Below are 17,162 nucleotides of genomic sequence, written 5' to 3' on the forward strand. Positions count from 1 at the left end.
GCGCTTTTATATATTTTAAGCCCATTAATCAGAGCTCTTTATTTTTTTAGTAGTGAAAATACTGTATACACAACATATACATATATAGACGTGTTAGGCATGCTGATAGAAATACATCTTATAGATTCATAAAGACCTTTTTTTCCATGTTTCTATCTTAACTTAGTCAGTTGTCATTTAAATAGCCTCAGATTTGCATATTACAGGCAACTCAGGTGAAAATCAGATGATAGCAAAATTTACATTGTAAGGTAAGAAGAAAAAGTCTGGTGTGCTAGAGAGAAATTTTAAATGGATTCAGTTGCCAATTGAACATAAAAGTAAATAAGCCTATTATAAAGGCCTTCAAATATATACACACACATATACATACACACATTCACACACACAAAGTTCCCATTGCTATTGCTTCAGTACTTTAGTTATGAAATAAATATAATTTTGCCAGCTTGCAAAAAAAAGAAAAAAAGCAAAACAAACAAACAAACAAAAAACACTATTAGGTCGGGCACGGTGGCTCACGCCTGTAATCCCAACACATTGGGAGGCCAAGGCGGGCGGATCATCTGAGGTTTGGAGTTCGAGACTATCCTGACCAACACGGAGAAACTCCGTCTCTACTAAAAATACAAAACTTAGCTGGGTGTGGTGGCACATGCCTGTAATCCCAGCTACTCAGGGGACGGAGACTGGAGAATCTCTTGAACCCGGGAGGCGGGGGTTGCGGTGAGCCGAGATCACGTCATTGCACTCCAGCCTGGGCAACAAGAGCGAAACTCCATCTCAAAAAAAAAAAAAGAAAAAGAAAAAGAAAGTCACTGTTAGATCCAAACAGTGGTTTTTATCTCTGCAGAAAAGTAACAATAGACTTCAGGCAGAAAAGAAAATAGAACCTAGGAACTCTATAGCATGCAGGTCGACCTCAGGCCTATTTTTCCTCAATGTCAATGTGCACAAAGACCATATTACTTCCATTTTATGTAAACTCTGGCAAGCAGAGGTGCCATAAAACCTATGGATTGCCAAAAAGAGGGGTCATTCTCCTTGTTTTCTCCTCATTTAACCCCCCACCCTTTTTTTTTTTCTGAAAAGGAGGAACTGAGCTGTAGCCTAGGGTGTTTTTGTGATGGTTCAATGCGTGCTGCCTGTGGGCAGGACTCCACAGTGTGTTACCACTGACTTTCCACCCTCTTATGTGTCTCAGTTTCTCTCTCCAGAGGTCTATGACCTCTGAGAGGGCTCAAAACATCAGGTGTTCTGAAATATTTTCAAATAAATATTTGAAGAGATTTATTCTAAGCCAAATATGAGTGACCCTGGCCTGTGACACAGCCCTCAGGAGGTCCTAAGAACAGGAGCCCTAGGTGGGAGGGGTACAGTTTGGTTTTATATATTTTAGGGAGGCCTGAGACATCAATCAAATACATTTAAGAAATACATTGGTTTTGTTCAGAAAGGCGGGACAACTCACACATGTCCCGAAAGCAGAGTACCCAATACATAAAACTATAATTGAAGGAATTGAAGGAAGAAGTAGAGAATTCAACAATAATAGGGACTAAAGCAATCTAGTAATTGAACGATACAGAAATTCAGCCAAGACAGAGAAACTTTAAACAACATTTCTAACTAACTTTACCTAACAGACATCTATAAAACATTCCACACAACAACAGCAAAATATACATTTGTTTCTTTGCAACAGGGAATATTCTGCAAGACAAACCATATTCTAGTCCATGGAACAAGTATTATAAATTTTAAAGGTTTGAAATCATAAAAGATATGTTCTTCCACCACAGTAAAGTTAGAAAACAAAAATATATCTTTAATCATAAAATAATTAAAAATTAAAAAATACATTTATAAATTATTGGTGAAAGAAAAAATATGCACAATATTATAAAAGTATTTTTATCTGAACAAATATAAATACACAATATATTGTGGAGTCCTAATTTGGAAAAAGGAGTCAGGCTGGCAGGACCAGCGGAAAGCAAAGATATGAGGCAAATAAACTATGCCTTTTGCCTTTCTTCATGGTTCAGGACATATAAACAAAAAGAGGAAGCTGATAAATTATAGTTTTATGGCCCAGGACATATAGCCCTCCTGAACCAATAAGATACATAACTCACAAACTTCCTGCTTACCATCAAATTCCTCAATTTATCAAATATCCCAGCTGACAGAAGAATGCAAGTTCCCAAGTTCCATTCTATAGAATCCTGAGCAAGCCTTTTTGCTCCTGGCTGTCAGCTTCTCTTCTACTGATACTGTCTGTTGCCTTTTCACAATGTATTTTCATACTTTCTCTAATAAATCTGCCTTTTTTCTACCTACAACTGTCTTGGTAAATTCTTTCAGTCCTGCACCACCAGCCCAGATAGTCATTGCTCACCGGCAACATTCTGGTGGCCCATAAGGGGACTCTCTCTTCATGGGGAACTCTCTCCCCTCTCTTTTTTCGAACTTTGGACAGTGTCTAAGCACAGAGGCAATTGCACTGTAGCTGGAGCTACTCTCTAGTAGGACTGGAAGGTGTCTTTGCGAAAGCGTCTGACCACCATCGCCCGTTAGGGTGAGGGACCTGAGTCTACTTATTCTTTTCAGTCTTTTGTCTGCCAGCTTCTATTAGCTCTCTGGCAATTAAAAGTAACAGGCAGGGCCAGTCTATGGTGCCGCCTGAAGGCCAAAGAGTGAACAGGACTGGCTGCCCTGCCCAGAAAAAAGAAAGGCTCTTTCTTATTTTTTCTGATCAAAAGCCCCTGATGCCAAAATGTGAAGCAATTGACAGCAGAAGCTTGTTCAGGGTGAATTCGCACATGTTTTAGGTGACTCAGACCCTCTGTCACTCTAAATTCTCCTGTGGAGACAGCCAATCATCCTTTTCTGGATGTGCTAAATCAGGTGATCTCAGACAGCCTCAGAACAGTGAGTCTTCCCTTAACTACCCACTCTCCTGGGTCAACACCAGACAGAGATCTTCCTTTACCCTTTTTCTTCAAACCTGAGCTGATCACCCAGCATAAATGAGTACCTCAACTGGCCATCCAGCATGAGGCCTCCGATCAGCCAAGAGGACTTTTCTAATGACTGAGACACTCCTTTAGAAAGTGCACCCAGAGTCCCTCAGTGGACATAAATGGAACCTTCTTTTCATTTCGGCGAGATGTCTTGACAGAAAGTGTCGTTCATGCCCCAAGTGGAACTGCCCCAAAGTGGCATGTTTTTTCATTCCACAAACCCCATCTATTCCTGTAGACTCACCTCTAGACTGTATTTTGAAGAATCGGGACAAATTTGACCCTCAACCCCTCAAAAAGAAACACCTAATCTTTCTTTGCAACATAGCATGGCCTCCTTACCACCTCCCACAGAAATTGAAGTGGACCCAGAATGGGAGCCTAGACTCCAGTATTCTTTTAAATCTTGATCTCTTTTGCCATAACTCTTCCAAATGGTCTGAGGTGCCCTATGTTCAAGTTTATGTTTCTATAAAAAAAAAAAACCTAGACTTTAGAGACAATTGTAGAATGAGACTGGCAAAATTCTTAAGTCCCTTAGATTCCTCAGACATTTTGGATGACCCTTCTTTTACACTCTCATGTTCCAGACCTCTCCCACTTTGGTCTCTCCATTCATTTTCCCTGACTACACATCTTTCCCTTCAATACCTCCTTCCTCAGCTACACCTTCTGTCTCTCCCTCTTTACCTCCTCCATACCCAGAACCACTTCTCCTCCACATACCAGATCAGGAGTCACCTCTGATTCTCTCCCATCATCAGATAAAGGTTTGCAGCTCTGAGAAGTGGCCAAATGGGGGTGTAGGAATCATCAGGGCCCATGTCTCATTCCCTATGTCTGATTTGTCTGAAATAGAGGCAAATCTTGGCTCTTTTAGTTAGTACCCCTCCCATTTTATGAAGAAATTCAAGGGGCTTGCAGTTTCCTTTGATCTCAATTGGCAAAACATTTAGGTTATTTTTACCACCTGTTGCACTCATAAGGAAAAGACCCACATTTGGTCTCTAGCCCACTGATGGGCAGAAGAATTCCATGCCTGGAACATTTGGAACCCTGAACCAGGAAGAACAGTTGTTTATGATAGTGATCCTAGATGGGGCTGTCAAGAAGGAGACCCTGATAGAGTCCACCACAATTATATGATCACTTGCCTGATTGAGGGGATGAAAAAGGCTGTCATTAAACCTGCAAATTATGCTACATTAAGAGAAGTTACACAGGGGCCAAATGAAAACCCAGCCCTATTCCACTCTAGGGTAGCTGAAGCTATGAGAAAATGCACTAATATGGATCTCTAGAGCCAAGAGGGCCTCACTATTGTGGCTGTGTATTTTATTAGGCCTCTCCAGACGTTAGGCATAAGCTTGAAAAACTAGTTCAAAGGCCACAGACCCCTTTCCTTACTTTGCTATAAATGGCCTTTACATTCTTTAATAACTGGGAGGAAGCCTCAAGAACTGACAGGATAGGAAGGAAAGAGAAAGAGACAGGCAGCAAGCTCATTATATGGCTGCTGCCTTTGCTACCTGCCTGCCCAAACCAGGGACCACAGACCAAGCATCAGGATGTCACCCACTGACCAATAAAAGGCCCATTCTCTGTTATAGCTATAACCAGCCTTGGCATATTAACAGAAACTGCCAAAACCCTCCACGAGTGTCACCTGATTTTCTACTGCCACCACCTGGCCTTTGCCAATACTGCAAGCAACTGGGACACTGGAAACTGGAATGCTCCTCGCTCCCTCATGATAGGTAGTCATCCTCAAACAAGTCCCAATTATGGGCCAACTTGGGAGGAAAGCAAAGGCAAATGCCCTTAACTTTGTTCCTCAATTATGAAAAAGCTGAGGAGACCTTAAAAGAGAAGAAAAAGCCCCAAGAGGGGCCATTTCCTCACTGTCCCAGAGGCCATCCAGGCTCCTGTATTTTCCATCACTACTGCTGAATCTCAGGTAATCTTGTGTGTAGCAGAATATAAAATTGAGTTTTTTTATTGACACAGGATCTAGTTACACTGCCCTAATTAAATTCTCTGGACCTAACTTTTGGTCCTCAATCCTCACAAGCAAGGAGGGCCAACTGAAACAGAGCTATTTTACCCCATCTTTGGTATGCATTGGTATGCAACTAGGGAAAAAAATATTTTCACTCACTTATTTCTGGTCTTGCCCACTTGTTCCATCCCTTTGCTTGGGAGGCATATAATGGCAAAACTTCAAACTAGCTTTCAGTTTTCCAACCAGGCCTGTTCAATACTGGCATTATTACCTTTTAATACTGACTCCAATACATACAGCCTTTCATTGTACAACAAGTTCCCCCTGAAGTATGAAACTCATCCACTCCAGGATGTTCTTTGCGTGCAGACCCCAAAAAGGTCATCCTTAAGGTCTTCACCTCTTTCCCTAGGAAATCTCCATAGCCTCTAAATCTTGAAACCCAATTAGGCTTACAGCCCTTAATTTCACTCTTGTAATTCACCATGTAACACACCCACCTTAGCTGTCAAAAGCCAGAAGGCACCTATAGAATGATACAAGACCCAAGAGCCATCAATGATCCAGTAGTTCCTACACACCCCATTGTTTCGAACCCTTACATCCTGTTAGGACAAATTCCTTCTGGCAGTTTTGGTTCACAGTATTAGACTTAAAGGATGCTTTCTTTTGCATTCCAGTACATTCAGATTCACAATTTTTATTTGCCTTTGAATGGCGAGATCCTTCCACTCATACCTCCCAACAATTAACCTGGACAGGCCTCCCCTGAGGATTTAGAGATAGCTCACAACCATTTGGACAGGCTCTTGCCAAAGATCTGTTCACCATTCAGCTATCCCTTAATAGCACCCTGCTCCAATATGTTGACCACCTGCTTATCTGCAGTCCAACTGAAGGTATTAAATACTATTAATCTTAGAATATCTAAATGCTATTAAAACTCTTTAGAGGTTATCTTCCTGTGGTTATGAGGTTTCTCCTTCTAAAACTCAAATTTCCTCTCTGGAAGTGCAATTTCTGAGACTCACACTAACCCCAGGGTTTAAAAGTCTCTCTGATCACTGTGAAAGCCTCATCTTAAACATGGGCACACTAGCAACTAAACAACAGTTGCACTCCTTCTTGGGAATGCCAAGTTTCTGTCATATTTGGACTCCCCAATTTGGACTCATAGCAAAACCCTCTTTATGAGACACTATGGGGACCAGAGGAAGACCCCTTTACTGGAACTCTGAAATGAACAAAACCCTAAAACCCATTAAACAAGTTTTACAACTGCCCCACCTTTGACCTTACCATACCTTAGAAAAACTTTCTATTTATTTGTACCTGAAAGAAGGGGTATCGCCCTTGGAGACTTAATCCAGCCATTGGGGCCCTCCAAATGACCAGTAGCTTACTTATCAAAGAACCTCAATTTGGTGACACAGGGCTGGCCTCCATTCCCCCGGCACTAGCCTCTGTGGCCCGATTGATTGAGGAGGCCTCCAAGCTGAGGCCAAGGAATAACAGTGTATACCCCACACCAAATGGTGGATACTTTAAACTCAAAGGGCTCTCACTGAGTCTCAAATCAAATAAGAAGATATCAAACCCTCTTTCTACAAACACCACAATTAAACATTAAGCAGTGTGAAGTTCTTAATCATGCCATCCTGTTACCAGATCCAAATGTGGAAGGATCACTTAAACACTCTTGCTTAGAAACTCTTGATTTAAGGCTGGTCGCAGTGGCTCACACCTGTAATCCCAGCACTTAGGAAGGCCTAGGCAGGTGGATTACCTGAGGTCAAGAGTTGGAGGCCAGCGTGGCCAACATGGTGAAACCCCATCTCTACTAAAAATATAAAAATTAGCTTGGCATGGTGACACATCTGTAGTCCCAGCTACTTGGGAGGCTGAGGCATTAGAATAGCTTGAATCCAGGAAGCAGAGGTTGCGGTGAGCTGAAATTGCACCACTGCACTCCAGCTTGGGCGACAGAGCAAGACCCTGTCTCAGAAAAAAAAAAAAAAAAAAGAAAGAAAGAAAGAAAATATTGAATTAATTTGTAGCTCCTGATTTGACCTCCAAGATATTCCCCTTACCAATTGGGAGGCCACTTGGTTCATAGACAGCAATAGTTTCATGTTAGAAGGTACCCAGTTACCACGGTATGCTATTGTTAGCCTTACTGAAGTTACAGAATTTGGGCCCCTACCCTGTGACACCACCTCAGCCCAGAAGGCAGAACTTATTGCCCTTACCTGAGCCTTGCAATTAGGAGCATGCATGAAACTTAATACTTACACAGACTGACCTACGTCTTTCATGTAGTACATACCCATGCAGCCATTTGGCAAGAAAAGGGACTCTTAACAGCCCAAAATATTCCAGTTAGACATGCTCCTGAAATCATGGCCCCGTTAGAGGTAATTTTGCTTCCTGCACAGGTAGCTATCATTCACTGCAAAGCCCATCAGAGAAGCAATGATAAAATCTCTATTGTGAACAATCAGGCTGATAAACAAGCAAGAGTGACTACTAAGCTACCTCTTTAGGCAGTTTTAGTTGCTAACCTAACTCAACTGTCTCCACTGTATATGCAGGAATAAACCCAAAGGGCTCTAGAGAAAGGCTTCTCCCATACTTCGGAGGGCTGGCTAAAAAGCCCTAATGGCAAACTTTTGCTCCAAGGAGCCTCACAATGAAAATTTTTAAACAGTTTACACCAATCAACTCATTTAGGGGCTAAAGCCCTCCAAGACTTAATATGGTCACTGTTTATCGGTAAAGGAATAGCATAAACTTTAAGATCCATCTCACAGCCTTGCCCCACCTGCTGCCAAACCAGTCCTGAAGGGGCCCACAAACTTCCCCCTCTCCTCCAACTCATTCAAAGATTAGGGATCCTACCAGGAGAAGTCTGGCAGCTAGATTTTACACACATGCCTCCATGCAAGGGACTTAAATATTTGATAATCTTTGTAGATACCTTCGCCAGGTGGATAGAAGCCTTTCGCATCAAAACTGAACAGGCATGGCATCAGAAGTCACCACGGCCCTTTTGAACCACATTCTTCCCCATTGTTGGCTCCCTCACTCACTGCAGTCAGACAATAGCGCTGCTTTCATTTCTCAAATAACCCAAGAAGTTGCTAAGACCCTTCAAATCAAATACTAGTTTCAAGCAGCCTGACATCCACAATCCTCTGGAAAGGTAAAAGAGCCAATCAAAGCATAAAAAGGCATCTTACAAAACTGATAAACCCAACAGTCATGGCCAGCTCTGCTCCCTATTGCCCTCTTAAGGTCCCTTATACCCCCAAAATCAGAAACCCATCTCAGCCCATTTGAAGTTCTTTATGGAAGACCCTTCTTACAAACAGACCTCTTGTTAGAGCCAGAAAATCATTATCCCACACAATATGTTATAATTCTTGGACAGACCATTAAAGCCATTGGCCATTACCAAAATCTCCACAGCCCCAAACCCGATCCCTCCTTTTCAGGAAAGATACACTCTAAATTCACACCTGGAGACTGGGTATGTCTTTAAACTCTCCTGCAGGTCAAAAGGCTGTTAGAACCTGTCTGAACTGGGTGATATCAAGTTATTCTTACTATCCCAACATCTGTAAAGCTCCAAGGTCCCCATGGATCCACCACTCCAGGGGTCAAAGCTGCTCAGGCACCAAATGAAGAGCCCTCCACTACACACAGCTGTGAGCCAATCAGAGCCCTCCATCTGTTTAGACAAAACTCAGAGGCTAAGTTGGACTCAGGTTATATTAACCCTAATTCTCAACTCCACCTTAAAGGAGTTTCTTTCTTTCTCTTTTTTACTTGAGACGGAGAGTCTTGCTCTTGTCGCCCAGGCTGGAGTGCAATGGCACGATCTCAGTTCACTGCAACCTCTGCCTCCCTGGTTCAAGTGATTCTCCTGCCTCAGCCTCCTGAGTAGCTGGGATTACAGGTGCACGCCACCATGCCCAGCTAATGTTTGTATTTTTAGTAGAGACGAGGTTTCACCATGTTGGCCAGGCTGGTCTTGAACTCCTGACCTCAGATGACCCGCCCGCCTCAGCCTCCCAAAGTGCTAGGATTACAGGCATGAACCACCGTGGAAGACCAGGAGTTTCTTTTCCTTACTCCCTTTATTTTCCTTAAAATCAATGAACCTAATTTTTCCTGGCTTCTTAATTGAATCTGTGGGCTGCATCATGGTCATCGTTTTCATTGTTCTGCGCGTTATCTGTCTTCTTCCGTCTGGATGGAATAGCATTCTCCTTTGCCATTAAACTTCATTTTTAAGAATAAGTATTCTAATAACCCCACCATCATACCCTTGCCTGGCCACTGCAGCAACCTCGAGTTTTTGACCTTCCCTTAAGGTTGATGGAAATTAGCCCAATGTCTCTTTTAAATCTTATTGTTAGAGATTACTCTTTTTATTCAATTCTACTACAGGCTCTAAGCAATTATTCAACTGCCTAACTTAGGCAGCTTTACCCTCTTAATATTAATGCTTTCACAAGGGAGGTAGTATATGATTGCTATTTGCAGGAGGACTTCTAGATTACCACCCAGATGAAATTTCTTTATATTTGTTCTAGTAATCTGATATACACCACACCACAATGATGATGTGCTGTGGTACTAAAGTGGTTTTCTAACTATTTTTCTTATACAATTTATAGCCCTTCTCCTTTCCTGTGTCCCTGACTTCACTATATTTTGTCGCTTTTAACTTGTCAGGCTTCATCCTCATTACTTGGATATCTCTACACTTAGTGTTAACACTTACAATGAACTTTACTTTGCCAATCTTCCTGGATTACACCCTACTTACAGGGGCCCATAAGCTATTAAAGAAACAACATTCTCTGTGTACAAAAGATTGTTGGCTTTGCTTACCCTTAGCCCTCAAATGGTATGCTTCTTCACTTTTTTATACTCAGTATTAGATCCATTTTAATACCATCCTGCTCTCCAAATTCCTGTTCCCCCAACTTCCATGGAACCCCAAAAACACATGTGGAATGGTAGCTGCATTCTCTGCCTATTTAAGCCAATACACGACCAAGCTAAAAATAACAACCCCCTCAAAGGACTGGTCCTCTAACCCAAGAGACAACCGTAGACTCAAACACCCTGTTGTAGCCCCCCTTTTTAAATAAGTACAACTTAAACATCAAGCTATTTGCCTTAAAGCAACAGACAACAAACATTACTCCAACCCCATGGGTGATGTTTCTAAGCCCCTTTGCAACTACACCATATGTATAAATCACACCAACAGAAAATACATACCAAGGGAAAAACATAATATGGTACCAGTTAGAATATCAGGCCCAGCCGATCCCAATGTCCCAAATCTCCAAAATATAAACTCTCACTTCTGTACAGATCACTCCTCTCCAGACACTTGTTCTCACCTAACTCCGTGGCAAAATTTAAAGGTTGAAAATTCCCCTAATAATTACCTACAAATTCTCACACTTAGCAACCCCAAATCTCAGATGTCTCCAGGCATACAACACATCCATTTGTTTAGGGAAAACAAAACCCACCCAAATGCAAATTGTAACATCTACACCTCACAACCTCTTACAATTACTATGCTAGCTACTCAATACTTCTTCAGGTCAGAAGGCCGAAACACACTCCATTTCTTCACTGTAACTCTATTCTCTTGCCTTATATCTGAGAGAGCATTCTTCCTTTGCCGAACCAATGCCTATGTTTGTCTTCCAGCCAACTGGGCTGGAACACATACGCTAGTTTACTTGGCCCCAGACACCCAAATTGCTCCTTCCAATTAGTCCTTCCCAATCATGCTTTACAGTCCTAGCAGGGCAAAATGGCCAATCTATCTAATTCCCTTACTGCCTGGCACAGGCATTGTCACTGGATTGGGTATGAGAATAAAAGGTATGAGCCTCGCAGTGCATACTTATCATATCCTCTCAATCGAACTTGCCACTGAGCTCAAATGCGTCTCTGAGACCTTGGAAGTCCTCCAAAATCAGGTCGACTCCTTAGCAACAATTGTTCTCCAAAACTGCTGTGGCCTAAATCCGCTTATGGCAGCCCAAGAGGACATATGTTTAGCGTTTGAAAAAGAATGTTGCATTTATGTTAATCAGTCAGAAATACTGTGGGCTCATGTCAAACACCTCAGGGAGCTAGAGGCTGAAATTGAGAAAAAAGTGTCACAAGGATGGTATTAATGGGCATCTACTTGGAGATCGTTGTCCTGGTTGCTCTTATTCCTGGGGCCAAAAACAGGCATTTTATTATTCCTTCTTTTCATCCCTTGCATCCTAAATTTACTACTCAAATTTGTGTCTTATAGAATACAACAAATTCAAACCAACATATTACTGTAGTGAGGATATTGGCCACTAAAAGAACTCCATAACTCTCCTTTGGATGCAGCAGGTTAAAATTTTAGGCTGCAAATGCTGTTCCCCATTGGTCTCACAACAACTCTGCCAAATTTAACTCCCAACCCAAGGATTTAGGCCCATGTAATGTCCTAACTGAGTTACAATACTTGATAGAGACAACTCTACACCCCTGGTCAGCAGGAAGCAGTTGGAAGATAAGACCTATATCCACATGCCAAAGGTTTGTCATTGTTACTCTGTGAGGAAGGAAATGTGGCGTCCTAATTAGGAAAAACGAGTCAGGCTGGCAGGAGCAGGTGAAAGCAAAGAGATAAAGCAAATAAGCTATAACTATGCCTTTCTTCCTGCTTCCAGATATATAAACAAAAAGAGGAAGCAGATGAATTGTAGGTCTGTTTTTCTTTATGACCCAGGACATATAGCCCCCCTGAGCAAATAACATACATAACTCACAAACTTCCTGATTACCATCAAATAACTCAATTTATTAAACATCCCAGCTGACAGAAGAATGCAAGTTTCCAAGTTCCATTCTACAAAATCCTCAGCAAGCCTCTGTCTCCTGGCAGTCAGCTCCCTCCTACTGATACGGCCCATTGCCTTCTTGCAACATATTTTCATACTTTCTCTAATAAATCTGCCTTTCACTGCCTACAACTGTCTTGGTAAATTCTGTTTCCCTCATGCCACTGGCCTAGATAGTCATCGCGCACATATAAAAATTAATGGAATACAACTAAAGCAATTTAAATGCCTATATTAGAAGAGAAAAAACAGAAGCACCAAGGTGACTGATTAGAAGCAGCTAATGTGCACTGCTCTCAGGGAGATGAGACAAAGTTGCAAGTAAACACTAGCTGTTCAAGTAGATTGTCCAGAAGGCCAAGGTGGGATTCATGATAGAAGCACTGGTTGCCCTCAGAGAGCAGAGAAGAGCAAGGCAAGACAGCTGCCCACCCAAGTTTGGCACAGAGCCAGGGGAGGCTACTTACCATGGGGAAAGGGTGAGTGACTAAGAGCCCCTGAAGACCCACACTTCTGCCATGGACCTTTGCAATCCTGGGCACAGGAGAACTCTCAAACCTTGCCCATCCCCCTACACCCCATGCCCTCATGCCCACCTCCAGAATGGCACAGTCAACTGTCTGAAGTCTGGGCAGAGCCACCACTCAAGAACACATTGAGCTTCACAGTCTTTGGATCCCTGAGAAGCCTGGTACCAGCTGTCATAGCCAGCCAAAAAGGGAGGCCAGAGTCTCTCACACGCCCCAGAATAAGGGCTGCAACCATAGTGCTGAGGAGCAGACAGGCTTAGGGCCCTACCTCTGCTGCACCAGGAGGCAAAGCCCAGTGGCCTGTGGTACCAGTGAAGCCATCCCATCCCCACTTCACTACTTTAGCCAGTTGTAGTTCTGCATTTCTCTGAGAGGGAACTCCAAGAGGTAACAGACAAGCCCTCGGCCATTGCAGTTGCTGCGGTAACCACCCTTGCTTCCCCCAGGCTACAGAAGGAACAAACATCTTAATTGCTTTCATGTGCTTACTGCATGCTACAGTTACCCTATGCAGAGGAGGCCAGACTATCTTCTGTGGAAACTCCTGACTCTCCTGCTCTTCTCCCGGCAGGGATCTCTGGCTTGCGTTTGCAGCACAGCCACCCCACCTTCAGCTGATCATCCCAGATCCAGCAGCAGGTTCTGTAGTTCTCTGAGGTGGAGTTCCCAGAGTCAACTGACAGCTCCTCTGCCATGACACCTTGCCCTTGCTGCCCTTGGGCTGGGGACATAACGAAGAGTCTGATTGTTTTGGTTGCACCATCAGTACACGGCTCTAAGGAGAGGAGGTGAGACTGTCTTTCCCAGGAGCCCCTTTCCCCCTCTGCTCTTTGACAGGCAGGGCCCCCCAGTTTGGGACCAGAACACAGCTTTCCCCTCCCTGGGTAATTACTCCAATCAGCTGTGGCTCTGGATTTCTCTGGGATGGAGCCACACCCACTCAAGTCAACCTGACAGGCCCTCTGCCACTGCCACCACCATAGACCCCACCAGAGTTGCCCCAAGCTGGGGAGGGAACAAAAACACCTGAGCTCACCCCAGGGCTGTGGTTCCCAGCTTGGGAGTGTGGAGCTGAAATATGTCGTTGGTACTCAAGTGAAAAGAGGAGCCTACAATGTCAGATCATGGATAGGAGTGAGTTTCATGGACTCATGGGCTGCCATAGGAGTGGGGCCTGCCTTCTTCCACAAGGGCAGCCCAGAAGAGGTGGGGCCTATAACCATGCTGTGGACTCTGCTTGAGGGAACCCCACATCCTGGAATACCTAACAAAATAAATATGGTCTCAGTGCCAGTGATTGGAGGGTGCACCCTCAAAGCCCAGTAGTGTACCCAGAGAGGAGGTTACCTCTCTCACCACTGCACCAAATACCAGAGCTGAAAACACTATGAACTACAAAGGAGCCATGCACTAAGAGCCTATCTGTTACCAAAAAGGGATCTCAATCCAGACCCCAAGAGAGGGATCTTGGATCTCAGGCAAGAAAGAATTCAAGGTGAATAGATAAAGTGAAAGCAAATTTATTAAGAAAGTGAAGGAATAAAGAATGGCTATTCCATAGGCAGAGCAGCAGCATGGGCTGATCAACTAAGTATACTTAAAGTTATTTCTTGATTATATGCTAAACAGGGGGTGGATTACTCATGAGTTTTCTGGGAAAGAGGTGGACAATTCCTGGAACTGAGTGTTTCTCCTCTTTTTAGAGAATATAGGGTAACTCCCTAACATTGTCATGGCATTTGTAAATTGTCACGGCACTGGTGGGAGTGTCTTTTAGGATGCTACTGCATTATAATCAGCATATAATGAGCAGTGAGGATGATCAGAGTCGCTGAAGGAGTGTTAAACATGGAATCAAAGGAATGACATCTGCTACCACAAAAACACACTTAAGCACATAAAGCAAGCACTATAAAGCAACCACACAATCAAGTCTACATAACAACCAGCTAACACAATGATAGGATCAAAATCTCACATATCAGTACTAACCCAGAATAATAAATGGGCTAAACACCCCTCTTAAAAGATGTAGAGTGGCGAGCTGGATAAAAGACAGGATGCAACCATTTCTTAGTTTCAAGAGCCCAATCTCACATATAATGACACAACCAGACTCAGAGAAAAAGGGTGAAGAAAGATGGACTGTGAAAAAAAAAAGAGTTACTATTATTGTATCAGATAAAACATATTTTAAACCAATAAAAAACAAAGACAAAGAAGGAAATGCATAACATTAAGGGGTACAATCCAACAAGAAAACTTACCTGTCTTAAATGTATATTCACCCAACATTTGAGAACCGAGATTTAAAAAGCAAGTTCTTTTTGGTCTACAGAAAGACTTAGACAACCATATAGCAACAGTGGAAGAAATCAACACCCCACTGACAGCATAAGACAGAGGTCATCAAGGTATAAAACTAACAAAGAACTCTAGATTTAATCTTGACACATGACTCATTGGACCTAACAGACATCTGCAGAACACTCCACCCAACAACCACAGAATATACATCCTTTTCATCTGCACACAGTACATATTCTAAGATCAATCACATGCTTGGTCATAAAGCAAGTCTCAATGAATTCAAAAAAGCTGAAATCATACCAAGCACAATCTCAAACAAGGTGCAATAAAAATAGAAATCAGTATCAAGAAGGTCTCTCAAAACTACACAAACACATAGAAATTAAGCAACTTCTACATAGCTCCTGGGTAAATATCAAAATTAAGGCAGAAATTAAAAAATTCTTTGAAACTAATGAAAATATGGAAACAATTTACAAAAATCTCTGAGACACAGCTAAAGCAGCATTAAGAGGAATGTTTATAGTGCTAAGCACATTCATCAAGAAGTTAGAAATATGCAAATTAACAGTCTAACTTTGCACCTATAGGAATTTTTTTTTATTATACTTTAAGTTTTAGGGCACACGTGCACAACATGCAGGTTTGTTACACATGTATACATGCGCCATGTTGGTGTGCTGCACCCATTCACTCATCATTTAACATTAGGTATATCCCCTAATGCTATCCCTCCCCCCTCCCCCCACCCCACAACAGTCCCCGGTGTGTGATGTTCCCCTTCCTGTGTCCATGTGTTCTCATTGTTCAATTCCCACCTATGAGTGAGAACATGCGGTGTTTGTTTTTTTGTCCTTGCGATAGTTTGCTGAGAATGATGGTTTCCAGCTTCATCCATGTCCCTACAAAGGACATGAACACATCATTTTTTATGGCTGCATAGTATTCCATGGTGTATATGTGCCACATTTTCTTAATCCACCCTATCATTGATGGATATTTGGGTTTGTTCCAAGTCTTTGCTATTGTGAATAGTGCCGCAATAAACATACGTGTGCGTGTGTCTTTATACCAGCATGATTTATAATCCTTTTGGAATACACCCAGTAATGGGATGGCTGGGTCAAAGGATATTTCTAGTTCTAGATCCCTGAGGAATCGCCACACTGACTTCCACAATGGTTGAACGAGTTTACAGTCCCACCAACAGTGTAAAAGTGTTCCTATTTCTCCACCTCCTCTCCAGCACCTGTTGTTTCCTGACTTTTCAATGATCGCCATTCTAACTGGAGTGAGATGGTATCCCATGGTGGTTTTGATTTGCGTTTCTCTGATGGCCAGTGATGATGAGCATTTTTTCATGTGTCTTTTGGCTAAATAAATATCTTCTTTTGAGAAGTGTCTGTTCATATCCTTTGCCCACTTATTGATGGGGTTGTTTGACGTTTTCTTGTAAATTTGTTTGAGTTCATTGTAGATTCTGGATATTAGCCCTTTGTCAGATGAGTACATTGCAAAAATTTTCTCCCATTCCGTAGGTTGCCTGTTCACTCTGATGGTAGTTTCTTTTGCTGTGCAGAAGCTCTTGAGTTTAATTAGATCCCATTTGTCAATTTTGGCTTTTGTCGCCATTGCTTTTGGTGTTTTAGACTTGAAGTCCTTCCCCATGCCTATGTCCTGAATGGTATTGCCTAGGTTTTCTTCCAGGGTTTTTATGGTTTTAGGTCTAACACTTAAGTCTTTAATCCATCTTGAATTAATTTTTGTATAAGGTGTAAGGAAGGGATCCAGTTTCAGCTTTCTACATATGGCTAGCCAGTTTTCCCAGCACCACTTATGAAATAGGGAATCCTTTCCCCATTTCTTGTTTTTTTCAGATTTGTCAAAGATTAGATAGTTGTAGATATGTGGAATTATTTCTGAGGGCTCTGTTCTGTTCCATTGGTCTATCACTCTGTTTTGGTACCAGTACTGTGCTATTTTGGTTACTGTACCCTTGTAGTATAGTTTGAAGTCAGGTAGCGTGATGCCTCCAGCTTTGTTCTTTTGGCTTAAGATTGACATGGCAATGCAGGCTCTTGTTTGATTCCATATGAACTTTAAAGTAGTTTTTTCCAATTCTGTGAAGAAAGTCATTGGTAGCTTGATGGGGATGGCATTGAATATATAAATTATCTTGGGCAGTATGGCCATTTTCATGATATTGATTCTTCCTACCCATGAGCATGGAATGTTCTTCCATTTGTTTGTAGCCTCTTTTATTTCATTGAGCAGTGGTTTGTAGTTGTCCTTGAAGAAGTGCTTCACGTCCCTTGTAAGTTGGATTCCTAGGTATTTTATTCTCTTTGAAGCAATTGTGAATGGGAGTTCACTC

At 42.4% G+C, this 17,162-nt stretch overlaps 2 long non-coding RNA genes and 1 pseudogene across 2 annotated transcripts in view; 2 read left to right on the forward strand and 1 right to left on the reverse strand.

Moving 5' to 3' along the window:
- LOC105377212 (uncharacterized) overlaps positions 1 to 7,023 on the reverse strand; it is a 54,563-nt gene extending 47,540 nt beyond the window's left edge. The window contains exon 1 of the long non-coding RNA XR_001755867.2: positions 6,815 to 7,023. This is a non-coding gene — a long non-coding RNA (uncharacterized LOC105377212). The remainder of the gene's footprint in view (positions 1 to 6,814) is intronic.
- LOC100533730 (endogenous retrovirus group FRD member 1, envelope pseudogene) lies at positions 9,795 to 11,387 on the forward strand (annotated as a pseudogene).
- The window catches only part of SPIN4-AS1 (SPIN4 antisense RNA 1), a 68,502-nt gene continuing 64,403 nt past the window's right edge, over positions 13,064 to 17,162 (forward strand). Inside the window, exon 1 of the long non-coding RNA NR_046739.1 lies at positions 13,064 to 13,266. This is a non-coding gene — a long non-coding RNA (SPIN4 antisense RNA 1). The remainder of the gene's footprint in view (positions 13,267 to 17,162) is intronic.

The sequence above is a fragment of the Homo sapiens genome, chromosome X (genome assembly GCF_000001405.40).
Source record: "Homo sapiens chromosome X, GRCh38.p14 Primary Assembly".
Taxonomy (NCBI): Eukaryota; Metazoa; Chordata; class Mammalia; order Primates; family Hominidae; genus Homo; species Homo sapiens.